Genomic DNA, 23,064 nt, shown 5'->3' on the forward strand with positions numbered 1-23,064 from the left:
AAAATACATCCCTTCATAAAGGATGTGAGTAACCACTAAATAATATACCCACAGAAGTAGAAACACATTCCTGAGAAATTTAAGTAGATAACTTTTTTTGGTTAATAAATTCTGTAGTTTTTTCAAAATACATGGTATATAAATGGCATCAGCCTGATAACAAGGAAAAAATATTACTTTCATCTTACATTTTTATAACTTTTCTGATATAGAGTAATGCACACACTAGTTTCAAAGTAAGCACAGCTAAATGTTCATATATGATGAAATAAAGCTAGTGAAATACTTAACGGTTCAGGATTATCATTACTCTAATTTAGGAAGATTTTCATGTCTTCTACATATTGATGGCCTTATGCTTATTTTTTCAGAAGCATCTCATGTTCCCGCTACATGTAAAATAGAGTGGGAAAAGGAAAAAAACCTTGTCTTTTGTGTAAAAAGGAAAACAGAAAAAAAAAAAAACCAATTAATTCAGCTGAGCTACAAGTGGATTGACCTGTGACATCCTCTTTGATGTCAACAAAAAGGGTTTTGATGTTTGATTGTCAATGTAGCTCTCTGAACCATCGAATCCCTCTATTTAATCGCAGGGAGAAGGGTATATCCTTATACCAAAATAAATGGAGATGCACTACAGAAATAAATGGCTAAGAAAATCATACAATTGACCTTATATGTAAAATCCTGGGTTCATGTTTGATAAAGTTGTTTATATTTGCTATGGAGAATGGGAATACAAAAAAAGATGCACACAGAATATCAAACTCTCTTTTTATCTGCATAATATAATGTACGAATAAATATAATCATTTTGCCCACAAGTATCTATAAAAATTAGTAACAACCTATGAATAACTTACTTAAATCCTGAGTTGCTTAATGATATGTCCAAGGGTACTTCAAACTGTCAAAAAAATCAAAGAAAATGAACCCAAAATGACAGAAAGTGATGACAGTTCTGAAAACCAGAGCAAGCCCAAGTAAACCAGAAAAATATTATGTTTGCCTAATAATGATATTTAACCATCATTGTCTTCAGAGGTTATTATACTCCAAATCCATTGCATAGAAAGTCCATTGAAAATACTCTGGAATTTACATATAATCATGAGCTTGATGTTTGTTTATTTCTTAAAGGGCTAATGCTTGACAAACTTTGTCTTAGATTTGAATATCAAAAACAGGTTGTACAATAGGCCAATTGGAAGCAACCATCTTTTACAAGACATAGATGACTGAGTAAGGAAGGAAGGAAGGCCTGGGTGTCTTTAGAAGGAGAGCAGAGGGCAGGAGGGGTAAGTGCAATTCTTGCAATGGCATAACAATCTGTATTAGATAGCAACATTAGTCCTACTCAAGAAGAATAGGCCGGCATGGTGGCTCACGCCTATAATTCCAGAACTTTGGGAGGCCAAGGCAGGTGGATTGCTTGAGGCCAGAAGTTCAAGAACAGTCTGGCCAACATGGTGAAATCCCATCTCTACTAAAATATAAAAATTAGCTGGTCATGGTGACAGGTGCCTGTAATCCCAGCTACTAGGGAGGCTGAGGCAGGAGAATTGCTTGAATCCAGGAGGCAGAGGTTGCAGTGAAGAGAGATCATGCCACTGCACTCCAGCCAGGGCAACAGAGTGAGACTCCGTCTTAAAAAAAAAAAAAAACAAACAAAAAAACAACCACCATATTGTTCATCACAAAGATATTAAGAACACTTCACCACAATTCTAATTTTTTTTAATCTTTTTTTAAAAAATTCAAGTTCTTAAATTGAAATTTTCCTATTTTTAGAAGTTTTTTTCCACTGATAGAACACAATGCTAACATTCCAAATAGCTTTTTCAGGGGTAACGCTAGATTTTGGTTAAACTATACCCTCTCATTGACTTGTCTCTTTATTCTCAAATCCACCATCCTCACAAGTCCTTTTGGGTCAAATAACTTATAACCCCTTAAAGCTATCTCTTACAGACCCCATCAATTATTAGGTTGGTGCAAAAGTAACTGCAGTTCTTGCCATTACTTTTAAATGATTAGAAACTGCAATTACTTTTGCACCAACCTGACACCTTCTACTAATCCCCACTTACACATTTTTCTTTGATGTGAAGCATTTAGTTACTGGACATTTCTGGTGTGTGTTCTTCTAATGACCTACATTAACTGGATTTGTTATAGAGTGGAAACCTGGAGGTGGCAAGAACTAATTTTACTTGCTCATACGAGTAACTAACACAACCATCAGGAATGCTAAAGCGCTGCTTATGATAACAATTCTCTTAAAAGAGAGTAATCTATAGGCTGGGCGCAGTGGCTCATGCCTGTAATCCCAGCCCTTTGGGAGGCCGAGGCAGGTGGATCACGAGGTAAGGAGATCAAGACCATCCTGGCTAATACAGTGAAGCCCTGTCTCTACAAAAAATACAAAAAAAATTATCTGGTCGTGGTGGCGGGTGCCTGTAGTCCTAGCTACTCAGGAGGCTGAGGCAGGAGAATGGCGTGAACCCAGGAGGCAGAGCTTGCAGTGAGCCGAGATCGCGCCACTGCACCCAGCGTGTGCGACAGAGTGAGACTCCATCTCAAAAAAAAAAAAAAAAAAAAGAGAGTAATGTATCATAAACTTTCCTGTAGTGTGATCATTTTCTGGACTTACCATTAAGTTATAGCTCTCATCAGCATAAAACTGGATACATTTTAAGATACTCCTTGATTTCTAAAAGAGAAAACAGAATGGCATATTAAAAAACCAGGAAAAAAAGAAAAGGAAGCAGTCAAGAAGCAAAACTTCACTATTTCCATCAATGAAAATGTAATGATTAGTGAACTGCAGTAATAATAATGTCAAAATCAAATTGTTCTTATAAAAAAGAGTGCTGGGGCCAAGCACTATGGCTCATGCCTGTAATCCATGTTTTAGGAGCCTGAGGCAGGTGCATCACTTGAGCCCAGGAGTTCAAGGCTGCAGTGAGCTATGATCACACCACTGCACTCCAGCCTCAGCAAGAGAGCAAGACCCTGTCTCTAAAAAAATTAATATTTTTGTAAAAAAAAAAAAAAAAAAAAAGGAGTGCCCGTGAACTAGTTTTTTTACCTTCAGGTCAATGTAATATAATCTCTGTTCTGACATATCCCACTGAGCCCAAACGAAATCCTCAGCTATTCTGTCTCTTGGGAGATGGCCAGAATTTTTAATCACCTAAAAATGCAAAAAAAAAAAAAAAAAAAAAAGTATGAATAACTTTTAAAGGAGAACATATCTGGAATTCATAATTATTTTCCATGTCTATCTTTATGATACATGTAAATATTTCCACAGTTCACTGTTAGAAGCTCCCCACCCCTAGTATACACAGTCTTTCCAGAAATGTTTTAAGACATAATTTCATTGCCTCCTCTTCTTCCCACGTATAATATATGATTTTATTCCTGCTCTTAGTTTAGCAGACAGGCTGAGGCTGTTGAAGACAACACCACACCTCCCACAAATCAATAGCTGCATTAATAGAAGATTCGGAACTTACTGTTCTGTACCTAACTCTCTTAAGTCAAGCCTCTGCAGACAAGAGCCCTCCACTACCAAAGACAGAGGCTGTGATGCCAAGGAAAAACTCAGGCCTGACAGTGGAAAGTAGTAGGCAATGACCCCAATTTGGCCATAAACCAACCATGCAGCTTTGGGCATGCCTCTCACCTTTATGTCTTCCATGATGAGTATGATGATATTGCCCATCTCTCAGCAATACTTAACTACTCATTCTTCAAGACCTGACTTACACATTGTGTTCTACACAAAGCCTTCCCTCACATCCCCAAGATGTAGTATAATCCTCACCTGTTTTCCAATGGTGCATTGGCATGCTGCTTTGACAATTACATTTTAATTAATGCTATAAGCCTCCCCCAGTGAGTACGCACTCTTCTACAACACGTTTCTATTACCAATGCATTGACTGTTTCTAGCATGTAACAGTGCTCAAGGAATGTTTGTTTGGAAGGCGGAAAATGGGCTGGGCACAGTGGCTCATGCCTGTAATCCCAGCACTTTGGGAGGCCGAGGTAGGTGGATTACCTGAGGTCAGGAGTTCAAGACCAGCCTGGCTAACATGGTGAAACCCCATCTCTACTAAAAAAATACAAAAATTAGCCAGGCATGGTGGTGCATGCCTGTAATCCCAGCTAATCAGGAGGCTGAGGCAGGAGAATCGCTTGAATCCAACAGGCGGAGGTTACAGTGAGCCAAGATCCCACCACTGCACTCCAGCCTGGGTGACAGAGCAAGAGTCCATCTCAAAAAAAATAAAAATAAAAAACAAAACAAAAAACAACAAAAAAAAACAAAGGCAGAAAATGAAATAAGGTGTGCAAGAGTAAATTTGAAATATTTGTTTACTAAGTAACAAAGTCAGAACTATGGAACATTAAAATCAGGAGATTCTAGAAACCATGCAATTCAACCCCTTAACAGGTAAGAAAACTGAGGTCCTGAGCAGTTAGATTAGGCTGCATAGTTAGTTCTGCAAGGTCTGGAATCCACGTCCTGGAATCCTCCCAGTGCCCTTTCAGTGCATCAGCTGACCTCGAAATAATTTAACAGAAGCAGTTAAGAATTAACTTTCCTCAAAATGCTTATTAAGCAAAAGTAATCTACATTGAGGTAGATGAGTAAAGAATAAGGACAGGTTAGGGTAGAAGAAATGAGGAAAAAAGGAAACACCAGAATGGTCCATATTCATGCCTAAACCCTCCCTAATCCTAATAGGGATTTCTCCACCGATGGTAACTTGCAACTTGAGGGGGGCCATGTGGCATAAAGAGTTGTAAACCACTATTTCCGCTTACCCTGTCCATTATATTTAGACAAGAGGAAAGTGATGCCAGAGAAAAGATCCAAGAGGACCTGTCTGTCTCTAAACCTTGGACAATCATTTTTCTGAAATTTGTTGAGTTGGAGTAGATCTGAGAACCGTTCCAGGTAAAGGTATGTACTAACAAGAAAATGAATGTCAGATTGTGGCATACCCAGGTTCAAATCTCAGTTTTGTTCCTCTCTAGATCGAGTCACCTCACCTCTGTGAGTCTTGGTTGCTGTCTTCTCTGTAAAAATAGGGATAAGCCTAATACCATCTCTATCATGCAGGGATGTTGCAAAGAATATGTGGAATTGCATATTCTTTGCAACATCCCTGCATGATAGAGATGGTATTATACTTATGCTGTGTGAAGCTGTCATCTAAGCCTTTAAGAATGAAGGCAGAAGTACTTCTTGGAAGAACACATGTGAATTAAGGAATGCTGAAGCTGCACCATCCTGAATTGCAGAATCTTTTCTGGGCTGCTGACAGGTGTCCCCACCATCACTCTTCCCAGTGTGTGTCTGTCTGCCTCTCTCTCTCTTTTTGCTCTCAAGCCCTCTTCTAACCAGCCAGTCCCCTGTCTATGCTCACTCTCAGTTCCTGACCCCAACTTGCTGATTTATTTCTCTCCTAAATTCTCATCACTGGCTTTGGGATTCAGCCTTGATCTTTCCTCTTGGGCTTGACCCTCTTCTGACTCCTGGCCCTCTCTGTCCTTGTGCTCCCATCCGTCTGTCCTTGTTCTCCCATCTACTTAGCCCCTGCGGGACAATGGTAGCCCAGAGCTCCAGTGACATACTTTCTCCTGGCAATTTTCCAGCCAGGCTTCTTGATTTGAGGCTTTCAATAGCTGATACACAATTGATAAATTCCATTTTCTGTTTCAATTTGTTCACTTAACTTTAAAATCTTCAGAGAAATGTTAAAATCTTCAGAGACAATTTTGATGCAGACTAAATATTGAAGAAAATCATTTTTAATATCAATAACATATTAAGATCCTATACAAATTATCAAGAAAAAGACAAGCCAGTAGAAAAACAGATAAGGATGCAACTAAACAATTTTCAAAAAAGCAAATCAAATAGCCAGTAAGCTTAGGAGAAGATGCTGAAATGCATTAATATTAAGGGAGACACAGACTAAGATAATATGCTATCAACTTAGACTCATCCAATTGGAAATTTTTTAAAAGGTAAACATACCTTTTCGTGATATGAATTGAGGGAACATGTACTCTTACATTTTGCTTCTAAAACTGTCAATTGTTAGAAGTTTTTTTGGAAAGCAATCTGGAAAAATCTGTTGGAATTTATTAAATGCATGTACCCATCGAACAATCCATCCCTGAGGATTTAGCTCAAAGAAATACATGTACCAATACATAAGGCTATAGGAAAAAAAGGTTTAAGATGATTTATAATTCAAAAGCAAAACCAAAAAACTGGCAATTTAGTGAATGTCTATCCACACCAGGGTCTATTATCTACTTCTAAAGAGACTGAATTGGAGCTATTCTAGTTTACTTGTAGGTAATGCCACAAAGCTGAATGAGTAAAAAATGAATAATAAACCCCTGGGTGGGTAAGAGGTGGGGGTAGGAGATTAGTATTAGTGTGGAAAAAAGTATGATACATACCAGGTTGTGAACAAAAGAGATTAAAAAAAAAAGTACATGTGGAAAACAAGCAAAAAAAAATTATACTCTATGAAACCCATATATGGCATGATACATAGTATGATTGTATATATGGTATAAATATATGGTATGATCCCATGATATGCATATACGTACATATGAAAATTAGAGTAAATAACCAATTAGTTATATCTCTATTTTAGTAACCCATAGGGATACTCCTGATCTTTTTACCTGCTAAGCAAAAAGTAAACACAAAAGCAGCAGGTAAATATATGTATTATGATTCTACTTTGGTAAAAACAATTGAATCCCCACATATGTGCATCTAACCTTGCATAGGTTTGCACGAGCAAGGTAAAAGCTGTGGAAAGACACACAGGCTGTTATTAGCTACCTCAGGATACTGAGATTGAGGGTTGAGGTAGAGAAAAAGGGGATAATTAACTTCATACATATTTGTATCATTTCACACATTAAAACAGCAAGTCTATACTTCAAAAGTCATCAAATAAAGAAAACATTATATATCAATAACATTATCTTTAGCAGTCTAGTAATGTACTTCTTTGTGGGGAAAAAAAAACCTATGAAGCGAAAAGAATTTCAAATCTTTACCACTCTATTTCCATCTTCTTGGGCGACATGGATACGAAATTGTTCAATATCTTTAAAAGAAAAACAAAGAAAGATAATTTAACCTTAAGGAAATATATGAGTACTATTTTTGCCTAACTCTTGTAAAAACATTGTTATAAAAGCAATGCAGATTGAACAACTGGCCAGAAAAACAACACTATCACAAACTGTAATCTCACAACAGAGGTTCAAAAACTTTTTAAAACCCATTTTTCTCCATCCTCCCTTTACAGTTAATTTCAAGTCCTGCATTTATTCTGCTCCTCAATATCAACAATACATGAAGTATTTAGCCCTCCTGCTTCCCTGGGTTCCCTCAGCAAGTACTTGACTCCCCTATACCATCAGCGTTATATAGGGCTAACAAGGGCTTACTTAGCAGAGTTTATTCTTCAATTCCCAAATACCAAACACTTGTTTGTATGAACATACCAGATAAAAAACTCATTATACAAGACATTTTGGGGAAGCATTTTAATAGAGGTCAATTTCATGTGAACAAAACCCTGAACACTAAAGACAATCTGTGTAGATGGTCTCTTTCTATCAGTAACAATTTGAATTCAGCCATATTTACCTTCTGCTGGTCCTAGTTACAAAACTGAGCAAGAGCTTAGAGACTGAACAAAGCCTTACCCCTCAAGCCTGTCCTTCCAACTATAAACTAGCAGTTTCATCTTGTAATGCAAAAGACAGCTTACTAGATAAGCTCCACCAGTAAATTCTGTCCTTCCTCTCCCTCTCTAACTTGAAACCATCATGGAAGGACATAACCTTTTATGTCCTAAACTTATTTGCCTCTACCTGAACCTGTCTAAGTTAGTAGGTCTTCTCAAGTTCTGCCATGGGATTCTTCTAGCTACTAAAATCTTCCCCTCTCTCCATCCAAGCATCTCCATATTATAGTTATCCACTATGACAGACATCCAAAAGACAGATGAACTAAAAATGACAAAAATGACCCATGCAACTTTCTACAAACATTCTACCATGGGACAAAATTGCAGATCCATGTATGCAAGAGCCCATCATTCCCAGGATGAGAAAGCTGAACACAGCCAAAGGGAACACCACTTGGGGGCCAAAGGAAAAGCCCTTCCCAAGGAATTCCAGGTCTCATATGGACATCAAAGCTTAGCAGACCCTTGGCAATGGCAGGTGGATATCTAGAAGATTCAATCATGTACCACACTAGGAGACGATATGCCATTCATGAAATTCCCATATTCCACCTAAAGATACACTTACATTTCTCTTCTGAAATCAGTAACAGATGGTTCTCTGGAAGAGGATGACTTTCAATATGTGGGTAGAGAAACTGTAAAAAAGAAATTAATCATAATTGTAAGCAACTATCTTGCTTGAACAAGTATTTCCAAAGTTGTGTTTGATGACTGTACTATTACATACCATTGAAGAAACTGGGAATCACAGAAGAGTTTAGGGGAATCACCTGCACACACACATTGCAGGTCAAAGCAAGCAAGAAAACAGAACACTTTCAGAACCTCAGTTTTCCAGAGGGGAATTGATCTCAAATACAACACTATCTTCACTTATTTTAACAGTAAGGCTTCTGGCTGGGCACAGTGGCTCACACCTGTATCCCCAGCACTTTGGGAAGCCAAGACAGGCAGATCACTTGACCTCAGGAGTTCAAGACCAGCCTGGGCAACATGGCAAGACCGCATCTCTACAAAAAATACAAAAGATTAGCCAAGTGTGGTGGCACGTGCCTGTAGTCCCAGCTACTCAGGAGGTTGAAGTGGGAGGATCACTTGAACCCAGGAGGTTGAAGTTGGAGTGAGCCAAGATCATGCCACTATACTCTAGCCTGGGTGATAGAGCAAGACTCTGTCTAAAAATAAAGTAAAATAAACAGTAAATGTTAAGGTTGAAGCTAATTCTAGGGATGGTACTTCCTATTTGGAATATTTGATTCTGAAACCAATCAGAAACAATGCAAACAACATTTATACAAAATGTTCTATTTCACACACACACACACACACACACACAGAGGTCGATATAGTCGTTGTGCAACTAAACCTAGTATATAATTTGAGAGCCAAGTAAATATATTCCCCACGACAGCTTCCAAAGTTCCACATCCAAGAGACAAAGCACAACATAACCAGAATTTGTCAAGAAAGAACAGTGAGTCATGGTGCCACATGAGTTGAGAATTTACAAGTCTGAAAGCACAGAACGACTGTCACCAGGAAGAAAAGGCTTAAATCCACCCCATTCCTCCTTCTCTGTGCTCTCCCATATAAGCCCACCACTATGTGTCTGTTTGCAGGACAAAGTAGGCTGCCAGCAACACAAGTCCTGACCCCGTCGGCTGTGATAATGAGGAAAAACTGGTCACAGGATGACTCAAAAGGGCAATTGTAAACCAGCCATTTCATTTTGCAGCATGAAAGACCCGTGAATTTTGTTCTTTTCCTCACCCAAAACTTGAAAGTAATATAAAAGGGCACAACTTTTATGTCCCAATCTCCGAGTCATTAGTCTCACTAAACTTAGGACAATTTTTTATTATTTCCTAGTGTCCTACCTTTGCATAATATCAGATTAAAAATAGTACTAGTCAAATTTTGGAACATTTATAGTTGAGTTCCCTTTTAGAAATGAAAAGCAAAACATATGCTTCACAGCAATAAAGTCAAAATTATAAAATAGCAATGCAGAATTCAGCTACAAAAATAATACAGAACTAATTGTCTCATAATTTGTAAAATGTCACACATCAAACAAGATACTTTGTATACCAGAGTTGAGGAAAAGCAGAGATGAATGACACCACATATAGGATGGGAGAACAAATGTTCAGTGCCTCAAAATATGGAGATATCTGCTGCTATGGAAGATGGTATGGCCTCCCGGTCTACAGAGGTGGCCAGGGCATGCCTGCTTAGGAATGTGACATGGACTGAGGTGCTGAAGAGGTGTAACTGCCAACCTCTAAACCTCTGCCTGGTCTTCCTGTGACAATCAGGGAGAATGTTATTTTAAAAGTCCCGTTCAGGTAGGTGTTGTTTTTCTTTCTATTATAAGGTGGTCCTAGAGTAAGGCCTGGAAGCCAAAAGTAGACAGGATTCAGACACAGCTCTGCAAAAGCACTCAAGGTTATTTTTTTTGTATTGTAAGTAGGATTCTATGCAGATTATATTTACTTTGAAAAATTTATCTTCACAAATATGGAGCTAGACTTAGAATGAATATTGGTCTTTGGAGGTCTGTAGTCTCGGTGTGTAGAGGGTGTGTAATTACCCACTGGAACTATCTTGAAGACACACCTTGTGCTGGAAGGAAACACTCAAAGGGTCCCGGATTGGGATCCAAGCCCCACCTGCCACTCCTGCTGAAGCTCCTCTGTGTAGGTTGTCAAGACTACACATGCAGAGTTAGGGAAATGTGCTGCTGGAGATCACCATGGATGTTTTTGTAAGAAAAAGGAAATTGATCCCAGGGCAAGACCAACTCAATGGACAGTAGATGTCATTTCTCTAGAGGCAGGAGGGAGAAGGCGGGGATTTGCCACTGGGGTTTAGAGGAGTTTCTCTCTCCAGAGGCAGAGACATGGGGGCAGAAGGCAGGGCTAGGGACTAAGATGGGTCCACAGAATTAGTACAAGTTTTACTTTATTTGGGTTGGGACTTTTCCTTTGGCCTATAGATGCTGTCCTGTTCCATGTACTTCTAACTTTTTTTTTTTTTTTTTGAGATGGAGTTTCGCTCTGTTGCCCAGGCTGGAGTGCAATGGCACGATCTTGGCTCACTGCAACCTCTGCCTCCCAGGTTCAAGCAATTCTCCCACCTCAGCCACCCGAGTAGATGGGATTACAGTAGCATACCACCACGCCCAGCTAATTTTTATATTTTTAGTAGAGATGGGGTTTTGCCACGTTGGCCAGGCTGGTCTCAAACTCCTGAGCTCAGGCAATCTGCCCTCCTTGGCCTCCTAAAGTGCTAGGATTATAGGCATGAGCCACTGCGCCCAGCCACTTTTAACTTTTTAAAACTGAGTTCACATAACATAAAATTTACCATTTTAACCACTTTAATATATACAATTTTTGGTAGATTTTAATATATTCGCAATGTATACAACCACTTGCTTTTAAAAACTTTTCCCCTTTCTATGCTCCAATTCCCTTTAGTTACCCCAATCCTTCAGTCATGTCTCTACCATCTATATGGCCCTAACAAGATGCTAAGGAAGCCAAAGAACAGACCAGAAAAGAGAAGTGTGCTCTGTCCCCAGCCTCCCCACATTGATGACAGTGTAGACGGAGTAGCTTCCTGAGGGTAGGAGAATGCAGCTTGGGAGCTTCAGGCCAGGCCATATCTGGAATTGAGGAGCGACCACAGTGCTGTCAGGAGTGGCGGGGAAATGCGCAGCTGAAAGGACTGGCTGACAGGGGAGGACCCTGGGAAGAGAGAGACAACCCTCTCCCCTAACCCACTGGAATAGGGAGGCCCATAGGGTGGAGGCTGGTAATAGCTTGGGGGACAAAAAGGCAGATACTTTGAGTGGTGCAAATTGACTCTGGCTAGACCAAAAGAAATGATATTTTGACCCTGTAACAAAATGTGAAATTAGGCGAAAGGAAATTATGCTGTAGCACTGTGTGAACACACACAGTTCATTCAAATTATTTGCAGTAGTTATGTTCTGTAAAGTCACCACAAATGTCGTATACTGAATACTGAACCATTGTTTCTAGGGAAATACAAAGGGAGTTGATCATAATCCTGAAAGACACAATCCCAAATGCCATAATCCTAAATATTGAAATCCCAAAAGATCAAAATCCCAAAAATATAATTCTGGAAGAAAATAATTTTAAAAATTATTTAAAAGATGTATTGACATTTTTAAAAGAAGACTTATCTGAGAAGCAAAACACAAAAGAACACTTCATAGTCCACTTTATACAATAAAATAGGCAATAATAACATACACAGTTTTGAAAGTATAGACACTCGTGTATACTAACTATCCTGTGATCATGGCTTTTGGGACTGTAGACTTTTGACCTTTCAGGATTTCAACATTCAGGATTATGGTGTTCAGGATTGTCTTTTGGGATTATGATCCAAACCCAAACAAGGATAAATTCTTGGAAGCCTCTAGTCACAGCATGTTTGTCAACAGATCAGTATATAATTTTGTTTTGTGTGTTTCTATTTAAAGACACTCCTTAACCTCATGGCCAACAGCATAGTAACTCATGCCTGAATGAAGCTTATCTGAAACACATGTTTTCTCCCTAAGGCATCTGACAGCCTTCTTGCACTTAGGAACACTAGACGGTGCCTCAGCGCTATTCCTGGAAGCCGTTTAAACTGTGAAATCGCCAGGAAAAAGCACAAAAATTGAAAGATGGAACTAGGCCATGAAAACAACTGTCATTTTAGTATGAGAGCTAAAGCAAAAAAGGCAGGGCATCACCGTGTTCAACCTCAATTGCGAATGTGCATGTTGGGTGACAAATTCTTTCACCACTCAGCATGTATCTGCAAATAACTGACGAAGTACTATAAGTGTTTAATTTAGGGGTTACAAATAAATTTTAGGAGCAGCAGAATATGCAAATATGGAATCTGCAAATAATGAGGAATGACTGTATCTATGCCACCTACATTATACATGCAGTTTCTGCATCAACTCATGAAGTTGATAAATTCAGGGATTAAGCCATTTAACCATAGATACTTAATCTGTCAACCATGCAAATACATTATATTGACCATTTTAAAGCTTACCTTAAATGTGTTTTAATATTTGATATTTTATCATGAGAAAATATTACATTACTAAGAAACAAACAGAGTTGGTGGAGCTAGCTTCGAGTTCTTAATTTCCATGCTTGCAAACAAAGAGCGGATACTTCCAGCCATAGTAGTCTACAAGACTGTTCTGAGGATTAAATATGATAGAGTGAAAGTACTTTGTAAACCCCAATTCTTCTAGGCTGCATGCCTTTTGATTAATGAGATAAGTGATAAATGGCATGCTTACTTACCTGAACCCAAATATAGCTATCCACAGCCTTTAGAACCTTCACATTGTTAACAGGGTGGATTTCAACCAACAAAGTCAAGCACTTTGATCCTACAGAGAAAAGAAGGCTTTTAGTAACGAAGATTGTAATATCACACATTATTTTTTCCAAAGCAAGGAGTAAGAACAATTTCCGGTAAATCCTACTACAGTGACTATAAACTAATAAAACAATTCTACCACCATCCTAGAGTCCTGTGAGGAGACTGAAACTGTAAATCTGTTCCCAGTTCTACTCTCTAGGATGTGTAGCGGCTCCAGGACCCCAAAAGAGCAATCAGCCCAGCAAAGGACCTGCCTTCCACACCCTCAGGAGCCCTGAAGAAGCTGCATTTTATTATGAAAACCACAGGATACTCAAGAAATGCAAATGTGAAAAGGGAAGTCTTTGAACAGCCCTGGAAACAACAGTAGATACAAGGGAGACAAATTTCAGATTATAAGAATTCTGCATTTACAGAAAAGCATCACATTTAAAACACAAGTGGCTTCTGAATTCAAAGATCACTGTATATTACTTTGCACTCTCACCAGCAACATATAAGAGGGCCTAACGGGTTTCTAATGGATATCATTTTTCCCAATTATCACAATTCTATGATTTGCAAAAGCAGACATGTCTGAACTTTCTGAAAATATAAATATGCTAACTATTGTATTAGCTATTCTACCAGGGGGAAAAAAAGGTGATTTTCTTAAAGTTTGACTTTAAAGTTTGACTTTGACATTTCTACAAATTCAACAGAGACACAGAAAAGATCTCAAGGGAGAAATCAATGTGCACGGAGTGAAGAAGTTGTTTGTACTCACTCCATGCCATTTTTAGCATAGCTCCACAAGCCCTCTAGGCTTTTAAGTCTAAACAAACACAGTGCGATTCTCTGTCACTCCAATTCGGCAGCACAATGGCAAATATTGTTTGTGTAGGAAAATAAAAAGATTTCTGATACATGAACATGTTAAGGCTGACAGTATCTATCATTAGGACACAGGCTGGGTTTCCCTCAGGGACAGTGGTATAGCACTGATAATGACCCACTTACTTCTTCAGTGTCACATCTGAGCAAATGCCATAAAATACAGCAATCAGGAGGAAGTCCATGGACACAGGCTTCCCCGCATGGAGTTACCAAAGATATCTAAATTTAGGTCAAGGTTCCCCTTCCCCCAAGATTACACCGTAGAAAAGAAGGACTGGCCTTATATTTGAGCTTTTATTGAGACTCTAATATGATCCAGTGTCTCTCAGTGACTTCACTGTGAAAAATAATATACAAAATTTGGGGATGGCACAGAAGCGTGGAATTTAATCAGTGTTAGTTTTCAATATTTAAGAAAGCAACCTGAGAGCACTGCTTTATTTTTTGAAAAAAGCAAAGAACGTAAAACAATTTCTGAGCTATGTCCTAACAACTGGAAGGTCTGGATCTATCTATAAACATGCCTTTTAAATATTACTTGAAAAAGACAGTAAGTGAGTTATTATATTGAATCATATAATATACATACTACAGAACAAATGGAAATCCAATGTTTGGTAAATGGGTGCTTGTGGCTTAGGATGAAAATCCTAGTGACAGGATCTTACAACCAAGGGTATGGATGAGTTACTTTGGGAATCTACTTGATGACTCAAAAAATGGCTCCAGGAATAAGAAAGACATTGGTGTCAAAGATATTTGTGAAGAAAAATAGAATAGAAATGCTCTGTTGAGAGGTGAGTATGTGGGGGGGAAAATGAATTTTTCTTATTGTTATCTTAAATGTGTATGACTAAATTAGTATATTAAATAGCACGAACTGACATTTTTTTGACCTAAAAGTATGCGTGTGTGTATGTATGTGTGTGTGTATATATATATATTTTTTTGACCTAAAAGTATGTGTGTGTGTATATATATATATATTTTTTGTTTGTTTGTTTTGTTTTGTTTTTTGTTTCCATCCTGGTTAACATAGTGAAATGCCGTCTCTACAAAAATAAAAAAAAAAACGCGTCATTTAGCATTAGGTATATCTCCCAACGCTATCCCTCCCCCCCTCCCCACCCAACAGTCCCCGATGTGTAATGTTCCCCTTCCTATGTCCATGTGTTCTCATTGTTCGATTCCCACCTATGAGTGAGAACACGCGGTGTTTGGTTTTTTGTCCTTGGGATAGTTTGCTGAGAATGATGGTTTCCAGCTTCATCCATGTCCCTACAAAGGACATGAACTCATCATTTTTTATGGCTGCATAGTATTCCATGGTGTATATGTGCCACATTTTCTTAATCCAGTCTATCATTGTTGGACATTTGGGTTGGTTCCAAGTCTTTGCTATTGTGAATAGTGCCACAATAAATGTATGTGTGCATGTGTCTTTATAGCAGCATGATTTATAATCCTTTGGGTATATACCCAGTAATGGGATGGCTGGGTCAAATGGTATTTCTAGTTCTAGATCCTTGAGGAATCACCACACTGTCTTCCACAATGGTTGAACTAGTTTACAGTCCCACCAACAGTGTGAAAGTGTTCCTATTTCTCCACATCCTCTCCAGCACCTGTTGTTTCCTGACTTTTTAATGATTGCCATTCTAACTGGTGTGAGATAGTATCTCATTGTGGTTTTGATTTGCATGTCTCTGATGGCCAGTGATCATGAGCATTTTTTCATGTGTTTTTTGGCTGAATAAATGTCTTCTTTTGAGAAAGTGTCTGTTCATATCCTTCGCCCACTTTTTGATGGGGTTGTTTGTTTTCTCTTGTAAATTTGTTTGAGTTCATTGTAGATTCTGGATATTAGCCCTTTGTCAGATGAGTAGGTTGCGAAAATTTTCTCCCATTCTGTAGGTTGCCTGTTCACTCTGATGGTGGTTTCTTTTGCTGTGCAGAAGCTCTTTAGTTTAATTAGATCCCATTTGTCAATTTTGGCTTTTGTTGCCATTGCTTTTGGTGTTTTAGACATGAAGTCCTTGCCCATGCCTATGTCCTGAATGGTATTGCCTAGGTTTTCTTCTAGGGTTTTTATGGTTTTAGGTCTTACATTTAAGTCTTTAATCCATCTTGAATTAATTTTTGTATAAGGTGTAAGGAAGGGATCCAGTTTCAGCTTTCTACATATGGCCAGCCAGTTTTCCCAGCACCATTTATTAAATAGGGAATCCTTTACCCATTTCTTCTTTTTGTCAGGTTTGTCAAAGATCAGATAGTTGTAGATATGCAGCATTATATCTGAGGGCTCTGTTCTGTTCCATTGGTATATACCTAAGCTAAATGACGAGTTAATGGGTGCAGCACACCATCGTGGCACATGTATACATATGTAACAAACCTGCACGTTGTGCACATGTACCCTAAAACTTGAAGTATAATAATAAAAATAAAAAATAAAAAAATACAAATCAATTACAAAAAAAAAATAGCTGGGCATGGTGGCACACGCCTGTAGTCCCAGCTACCCGGGAGGCTAAGGCAGGAGACTCGCTTGAAACCAGGAGGCGGAAGTTGCAGTGAGCCAAGGTTGCGCCACTGCACTCCAGCCTGGTGACAGAGCGAGACTCCGTCTAAAAAAAAAAAAAAAAAAAAAAAAAAAAAAAAAAAAATTAGCCGGGTGTGGTGGCACTCATCTGTAGCTACTCGGGAGGCTGAGGCAGGACAATCACTTGAACCCAGGAAGCAGAGGTTGCAGTGAGCTGAGATCACACCACTGCACTCCAGCGTGGGCAACAGATGAGGCTCCGTCTCAAAAAAAAAAAAAAAAAAAAAAGAAAAAGAAAAAGAATAACCATATATTTGGCTTTTTTTTTTAAGCAGGAATTTGTACCCAAAGGAGACAGCCAGCTATCAGCAAGATTTTCTTACCTTTAAAATGGGAAGATCTTTGAAGGCAGAAAACACCTTTCTACACTAATTTTTCCCTTCTCAAGTACAACCCAGACATTTGACTAATACTACTAGCATAATAAGAGCCAACCTTTGCAAATAGTAATTTCTCTCAATAACATACCATGTGCTTTCACAGTGAAAAAGGAAGCATCGTGAATTAAGATTCTAGAGACATCAGTTCTAGTTTCAGTTCTGCCATTATCCTGGTATTTACTTCACAGCAAATCACCAAGCTTTCCTAGGCCTCAATGCCTCATTATTAAACATAATAAAACATGCAGGGCAAGGTGCTCACGCCTGTAATCCCAACACTTTTGGAGGCCAAGGCAGGAAGATCATTTGAGGCCAGGAATTTGAGACCAGCCTGGGCAACATAGTGAAACCCCATCTCTACAAAAAAATGAAAAAAATATTAAGAACAAGCTGGACATGGTGGTGTGTGCCTATAGTCCCAGTTACTCAGAAGGTTGAGGTGGGAAGATCACCTGGGCCAGGGAGGTCGAGGCTATAGTGAGCCATAAGAATGTCAGTGCACCCCAGCTTGGGCAACAGAGCAAGACCCTGTCTCAAAAATAATCAGAATAAAATGAAAGACCAAAGAACCAGATTACTTCTACAATCCCTTTCAGCCATAAAATCCCATTATTCTATGAGGTGCTAAATTAAGAATTTTGATGGCCGGGAGTGGTGGCTCACACCTGTAATCCCAGCACTTTGGGAAGCCAAGGCGGGTGGATCACCTGAGGTCAGGAGTTCGAGACCAGCCTGGCCAACACGGGGAAACCCCGTCTCTACTAAAAATACAAAAATTAGCCGGAAGTGGTGGTGGATGCCTGCGGTGCTGGCTACTCAGGAGGCTGAGGCAGGAGAATCTGAACCTGGGAGGCGGAGGTTACAGTGAGCCGAGACCACACCATTGCACTCCAGCCTGGGTGACAGAGCAAGACTCCATCTCAGGAAAAAAAAAAAAAGAATTTTGAGAATCAAGATATCAGTGGAGACTGGACACAGTGGCTCATGCCTGTAATCCTAACATATTGGGTGGCTGAGGTGGGCGGATTCCCTGAGCTCAGGAGTTCAAGACCAGCCTGGGCAACATGACTAATCCCCTCTCTGCTAATAACACAAAAAATTAGCCAGGCGTGGTGGCGCACACTTGTAATCCCAGCTACTCGGGAAACTGAGGCAGGAGTATCGCTTGAACCCGGAAGTTGGAGGTTGCAGTGAGCTGAGATCACACCACTGCACTCCAGCCTGGGTGACAGAGCAAGGCACTGTCTCAAAAAAGAAAAGATTATCAGTGGAGACTGGGAGACCATCACTGAAGGGGAAGACAAGACCAGGCAATATCTGGATACCACAAGGAGAGACAGCAGGATCAGGCAGAGGGATAGACATGACATGAGGAGAACGGAGGTGAGCAAAAGACCATGGTGTGATCCAGGCACATGCTGTGAAATGGTGACAAGGATGGGAGAGTTCAATATGGCCTGGTTCTGAAGGAGCTCTGGTTATTCAAGCTCTTGAACCGAATCACAGCTTCACAGAGCATCTGTGACACTTGACTGTCTATGATGGTGAGAGGGAGTTCTGGAAAATCTCAGTGGCAATGGGGCCCCTGACCCATATGGTCACCCCAATTGCTGCCCAGTGGAAATCTGCTGTGACTTGTGGCAAATGCAACTCCACAGGGGAGGATGAAGGGGACAGCCAGAGCCTGGTTTCCTATGGAAGTCCATTTTCTCAGTAAAATATTCACTCTGCCATCTCTACAGCCAAGAAAAGGAGCATTACTGATTAAAAAAAGAAAAAAAAACTGCATTGTAAAGTATGTGGATCAAAGAACCCTGTTTACAAAAAAATGGTACAATTTGTCTCATCTACAGTGGAAAAATCTTATTTTAAGCAACAGTGTTAAACCCCACCTGAGACAAACCACATCTTATAATCAAATGGCTTGTAAGGCCATTTGATGGACAGACAAAATAAACGTTTCCAAAATATTCGTTCAAATAAAACATTCTAATAAATCCTATAGTGCTTTCTGGTTACATCATCTGAAATCTTTACTGAACAAAATGAAACCTTCCCATGATGAGCAATACCTTTCATATACTGATGACTCCTAAATGTGCCTCTCCAGCCGTGACCTCTTACCTGGCCTTCTGACTCATCTCCAAACTCCACCTCACATCTCCACTGGGATGTCTATTAGGCATGTCAAACTGAGCAAGTCCAAAATGAAACTCTTCCTTCCTGCCCCTCCCATACACACATACACACCCACATGCCCTTCTACCTGTTCTAGCCAAAAACCTTAAAGTGAGTCACGCTTGACTTGTCTCTTTTTCTTATGTTCCCATGAAATCCGGCGGCATGCATGCATATATATATACATATATACTTTCTTTTTTTTTTTTTTTTTGAGACAGAGTCTCACTGTGTCACCCAGGCTGGAGTACAGTGGCACGATCTCTGCTCACGGCAACCTTTATTTCCTGGGATCAAGCAATTCTCCTGCCTCAGCTTCCCAAGTAGCTGGGATTACAGGCGTGTGCCACCACACCCGGCTAATTTTTCTATTTTTAGTAAAGACAGGGTTTCACCACGTTGGCCAGGCTGGTCTCAAACTCCTGACCTCAGGTGATCCACCTGCCTCAGCCTCCCAAAGTGCTAGGATTACAGGCGTGAGCCACTGTGCCTGGCCAAGCAGCCAATCTTGACAAGTCGATCTTTTGAATACAGCCAAACACAGCCACTTAGCCCTTGCTTCACTTTACCAGTCCAAGCCATTAGACTGTAATAATTCTCTCCTTGCCCTGCCGCAGTCCATCTTCCACGCAGCAGCTACAGCAATCCTTTTATGAAGCAAGTTAGATCATGTCCCTGCTCAGTATGCGTATCTCTTCCAATTTTACTAGGAATGAGGGCCACACCTTTACAATGGCCTCCTTGAGTCTACGTGATCCATCTGCACCTCACCTCTTTTTTCCTTTGCCCTCAGTTCCTACCACTCTGCCCCTTGTTCACTCCACTCATCTCACTGACCTCCTCACTATCCTTGAACAGCGAGTCTACCAAGTATAGTCCTGTGATGACTGTTTGATCTGCCAGAAATGTGCTTTCTCCATAGCCTCGTGCTTGTTCCATCCCCACCTTCAGGTCTCTGTTTAAACATTCCCCTAATGGCCTTTCCTAGTATCATTCCCCAGATAAATTAATTGGACTCAAATCTCTGCTTCAGGCACAGTTATGGGGAAATTCACACTAAGATAAGAACTTATCTCAGGGAGCAATATAACTCTAGGATCACTCTAGCCAGCATTGGCATAAGAGACTGGGAAAAATGAAACAGGGAAGAAAAGTATACCAGTAAATGGGGCATTATCAAATTAGTGACCACCTTGGATTTTAAGCTGCTTGGAGTACACCTCACAATTACCCACTTTAGAGATGGAAAGGAAGACCATTTATCTTTCAGCTCCTTGCCACCATTGGTCATGGGTTATTCTCCTGGGCATCATGCCCAACCATACTTCCAAGCTGTACATGTGTAGGCAGTAAATAGATTTTCCCAAGTGCCCTTGGCAGAAAGCAAGACACAGGTAGGGCAGCTGAGGCAAGGCACTGTCTCACTACACCTAGGCAGAGCTGGCCAACATGATAAAGTTGTGAGGTATCCAACACAATAACCAATAACGTTCATTGCACTGTTTCTAAAGATGCAAGCAGATCATCTCACTATAAGTGCATCAAACTTACAAGACTGAGCAAGCATCCCTGAATAGACTTTAATGTTGTAATCAGGTAAAATTTAAAATTGGCCTGAAAGTAAATTTTATAATCTACATAATCATAAAGGACTACTGTTCTGTGTGACAGTCAGGCATAGATGGTGAACAATAGACAGATGTAAAAAATGTAGTTACTACTCAGTTTCCCAACACAATAAAGAATTTTTAAGGCTAAAAAAATAAGGCTCAAGAAGAACTGGGAGGCACAGGAGCCAACCCAAGTTTCTACACAGATGCCCACCCTCACCACCTCCAGGAACACAGCAGCTAGGCCTTTCCTCTTCTTGGAGAAATGGGTCTATTAGCCCAAAGGTCACAGCCATATCCTGGGGTTTTGCCCATACCCTTGTTTTAAGGGTCAGAACACTAATGTCCCAGATCGTATTTCACTTAAGCTATTCCAGTTCCATCTCCTCTGAAGCAAGCCCTGCACTTAATTCTAAAAGGAGCAGAGAGTGCTGACAGTACTGGGAAAAGGAGGACATGGCACCAAAGACGGAAGGGGTTGTTCTCAGTATATCATGGCAGGGGGAGGGTAAGGATGAGCAATACAAATGATGAGATTTCAGATGAGCCTCCTGCCCACCAAATCTCCCATAAACAACTTTACTGAGGCCCCCAAGAAGGTCCCTTGCAGACTAGGCTCTGGGGAAATGTGTGTCATGAGAAGCCTGGGAGTGCCTCACAAGCCTCATGTGGAAAGTAAGTACAAAGGGTTTTTCCATCACATGCAATGGCAGGAAAATACATCTGAGTGGGAACTATGCTAACAAAAGAAGTAATTAAAGAAGGAATTTAAGTGTCAAATAAACAGAACAGATGGAAAGCACCTGGGAGCAGAATAGTAAGAGATTGATAGGAGACCCACTAGGCCAGAAGTTGACAAATGGTAATCACAGGCTGGCTCCAGCCCACAGGTGGTTATTATTGTCCCAAGTACGATTTTTAAATAGATTCAAGCCAACATTTACAAATTCGATCTTTACAAAAAGCTCCAGACTTCCCTTGATAAATTGAAAAGCCAGTTCCACTGGACTTGCTAGTGACAACAAAAAGCTAGAGCTGAGTAGTGGCTCCCCTTCTTGAAAGTCCCCCATGGGGCATCCCTACCCTACTACTAGTCCCTATATCTCTTGAACTTTTTTTTTTTCGTTAAAGAAAAAAAATATTTCTTGGTTTCTATGTTAAAAATGGAAAAAAAACAAAGACATTCTGCTGGTCACTTGATTTTTTTCTTACATTCAATCTGCTTCACATATTTACATGGTCTCTCTGGCCAATGTATGCATTTGCAATTGAAACCCCAGACTAGACTGAAAGCCCCATGAGGGTAGATGCCTATACCTCTCTTACACACCATTGTATCCCCAGTACCATGCATAATGCCTGACCCCCAGCAGGCACTCAATACTGTTGAGTTATAGACAGAGGGATGACTTACAGCAGTTTTTAAAAGGTGGTGGGGAGGGGCCAGGGAGCATCACATAGCTACAAAACTATAAAGTGGGCCTTGGCAAATGAGCAGAATTAATCTTTAGTATTGGTGTAGTACTTACAATGTGTTAGGTATTAATCAATACCTAACCAGATATAAGAAAAGATGCATTCTTGACTTTCCCTATCTTTTATACCAACATCTGACCATAGGTTTCTACTTCAGCATTTATTTAGCCTGCAGGTACTAATTACCATCTTAATACTTCTGCTGAATCACTGTTAGAACATTGTCTGTCCTTTTCTGTTTGCTTGAAAAAAAAATTTTTTTTAAGTCTTTTTCATGCTTGACATGACCTTTGCCTTTTATTCTGAGATACGATAAGGCTATTTCTAAAGATGCTTGAAATTTGATTTGGTAGTATAATAAATCATCTACCAATAACCTTCATCTACCCATAGGTACTAAAAAGTGTAATTTCATTACCTGGTTGAAGTTCGTTCCTTTTTCCTTCTTTAGTAGACTGAACTAAACTTGCAGCTAATGGAAAAAGAAAAAAAATCCATTAGCAATTGATCCATATGGTAGCTTGTTAAAGTTTACCAGTTTAAACCTGAAATAGATGAGGGCTCAAAGGATATGTCAACGGAAGATAAGGGCAGAACACAAAGCATTCTTTTTTGTAGGTATATCCTCTACATTCTTTATTTCAAACTTAACTTCTCAAGAACATTTCTTTCCTAGGAAATTATTGTTATAGAAT

General features: G+C 39.8%; 1 protein-coding gene across 29 annotated transcripts in view, besides 1 other annotated feature; it reads right to left on the bottom strand.

The window, feature by feature from the left end:
- The window catches only part of GSAP (gamma-secretase activating protein), a 105,880-nt gene that overhangs the window by 63,444 nt on the left and 19,372 nt on the right, over positions 1-23,064 (bottom strand). For 28 of the 29 annotated variants that reach the window (NR_146938.2, NR_146937.2, XR_007060056.1 and 25 more), the window contains 7 exons: positions 22,788-22,841; positions 13,166-13,254; positions 8,380-8,449; positions 7,111-7,160; positions 3,092-3,196; positions 2,654-2,713; positions 864-907 (listed from right to left, as the gene is read on the bottom strand). Coding sequence is in view for 24 of the 29 variants with exons in the window: in NM_001350898.2 (NP_001337827.1) it covers positions 864-907; positions 2,654-2,713; positions 3,092-3,196; positions 7,111-7,160; positions 8,380-8,449; positions 13,166-13,254; positions 22,788-22,841 (472 nt within the window). In the remaining 5 variants the exon portion in view is untranslated. Of the gene's footprint in view, positions 1-863; positions 908-2,653; positions 2,714-3,091; positions 3,197-5,652; positions 5,760-7,110; positions 7,161-8,379; positions 8,450-13,165; positions 13,255-22,787; positions 22,842-23,064 lie in introns of those variants that run through there. The other variant, XM_011516330.3, reaches the window with a different exon arrangement.
- Positions 18,349-19,548: an enhancer, noted in NCBI's record as "P300/CBP strongly-dependent group 1 enhancer chr7:77021860-77023059 (GRCh37/hg19 assembly coordinates)". NCBI's record gives its function as "activates an origin of replication core promoter dependent on BRD2, BRD4, P300/CBP, MED14 and CDK7 cofactors, with strong dependence on P300/CBP, by STARR-seq in HCT116 cells {active_cell/tissue: HCT116}" and the evidence as "EXISTENCE:reporter gene assay evidence [ECO:0000049][PMID:35650434]".

This window comes from Homo sapiens, chromosome 7 (assembly GCF_000001405.40).
Source record: "Homo sapiens chromosome 7, GRCh38.p14 Primary Assembly".
In the NCBI taxonomy this organism is placed as follows: Eukaryota; Metazoa; Chordata; class Mammalia; order Primates; family Hominidae; genus Homo; species Homo sapiens.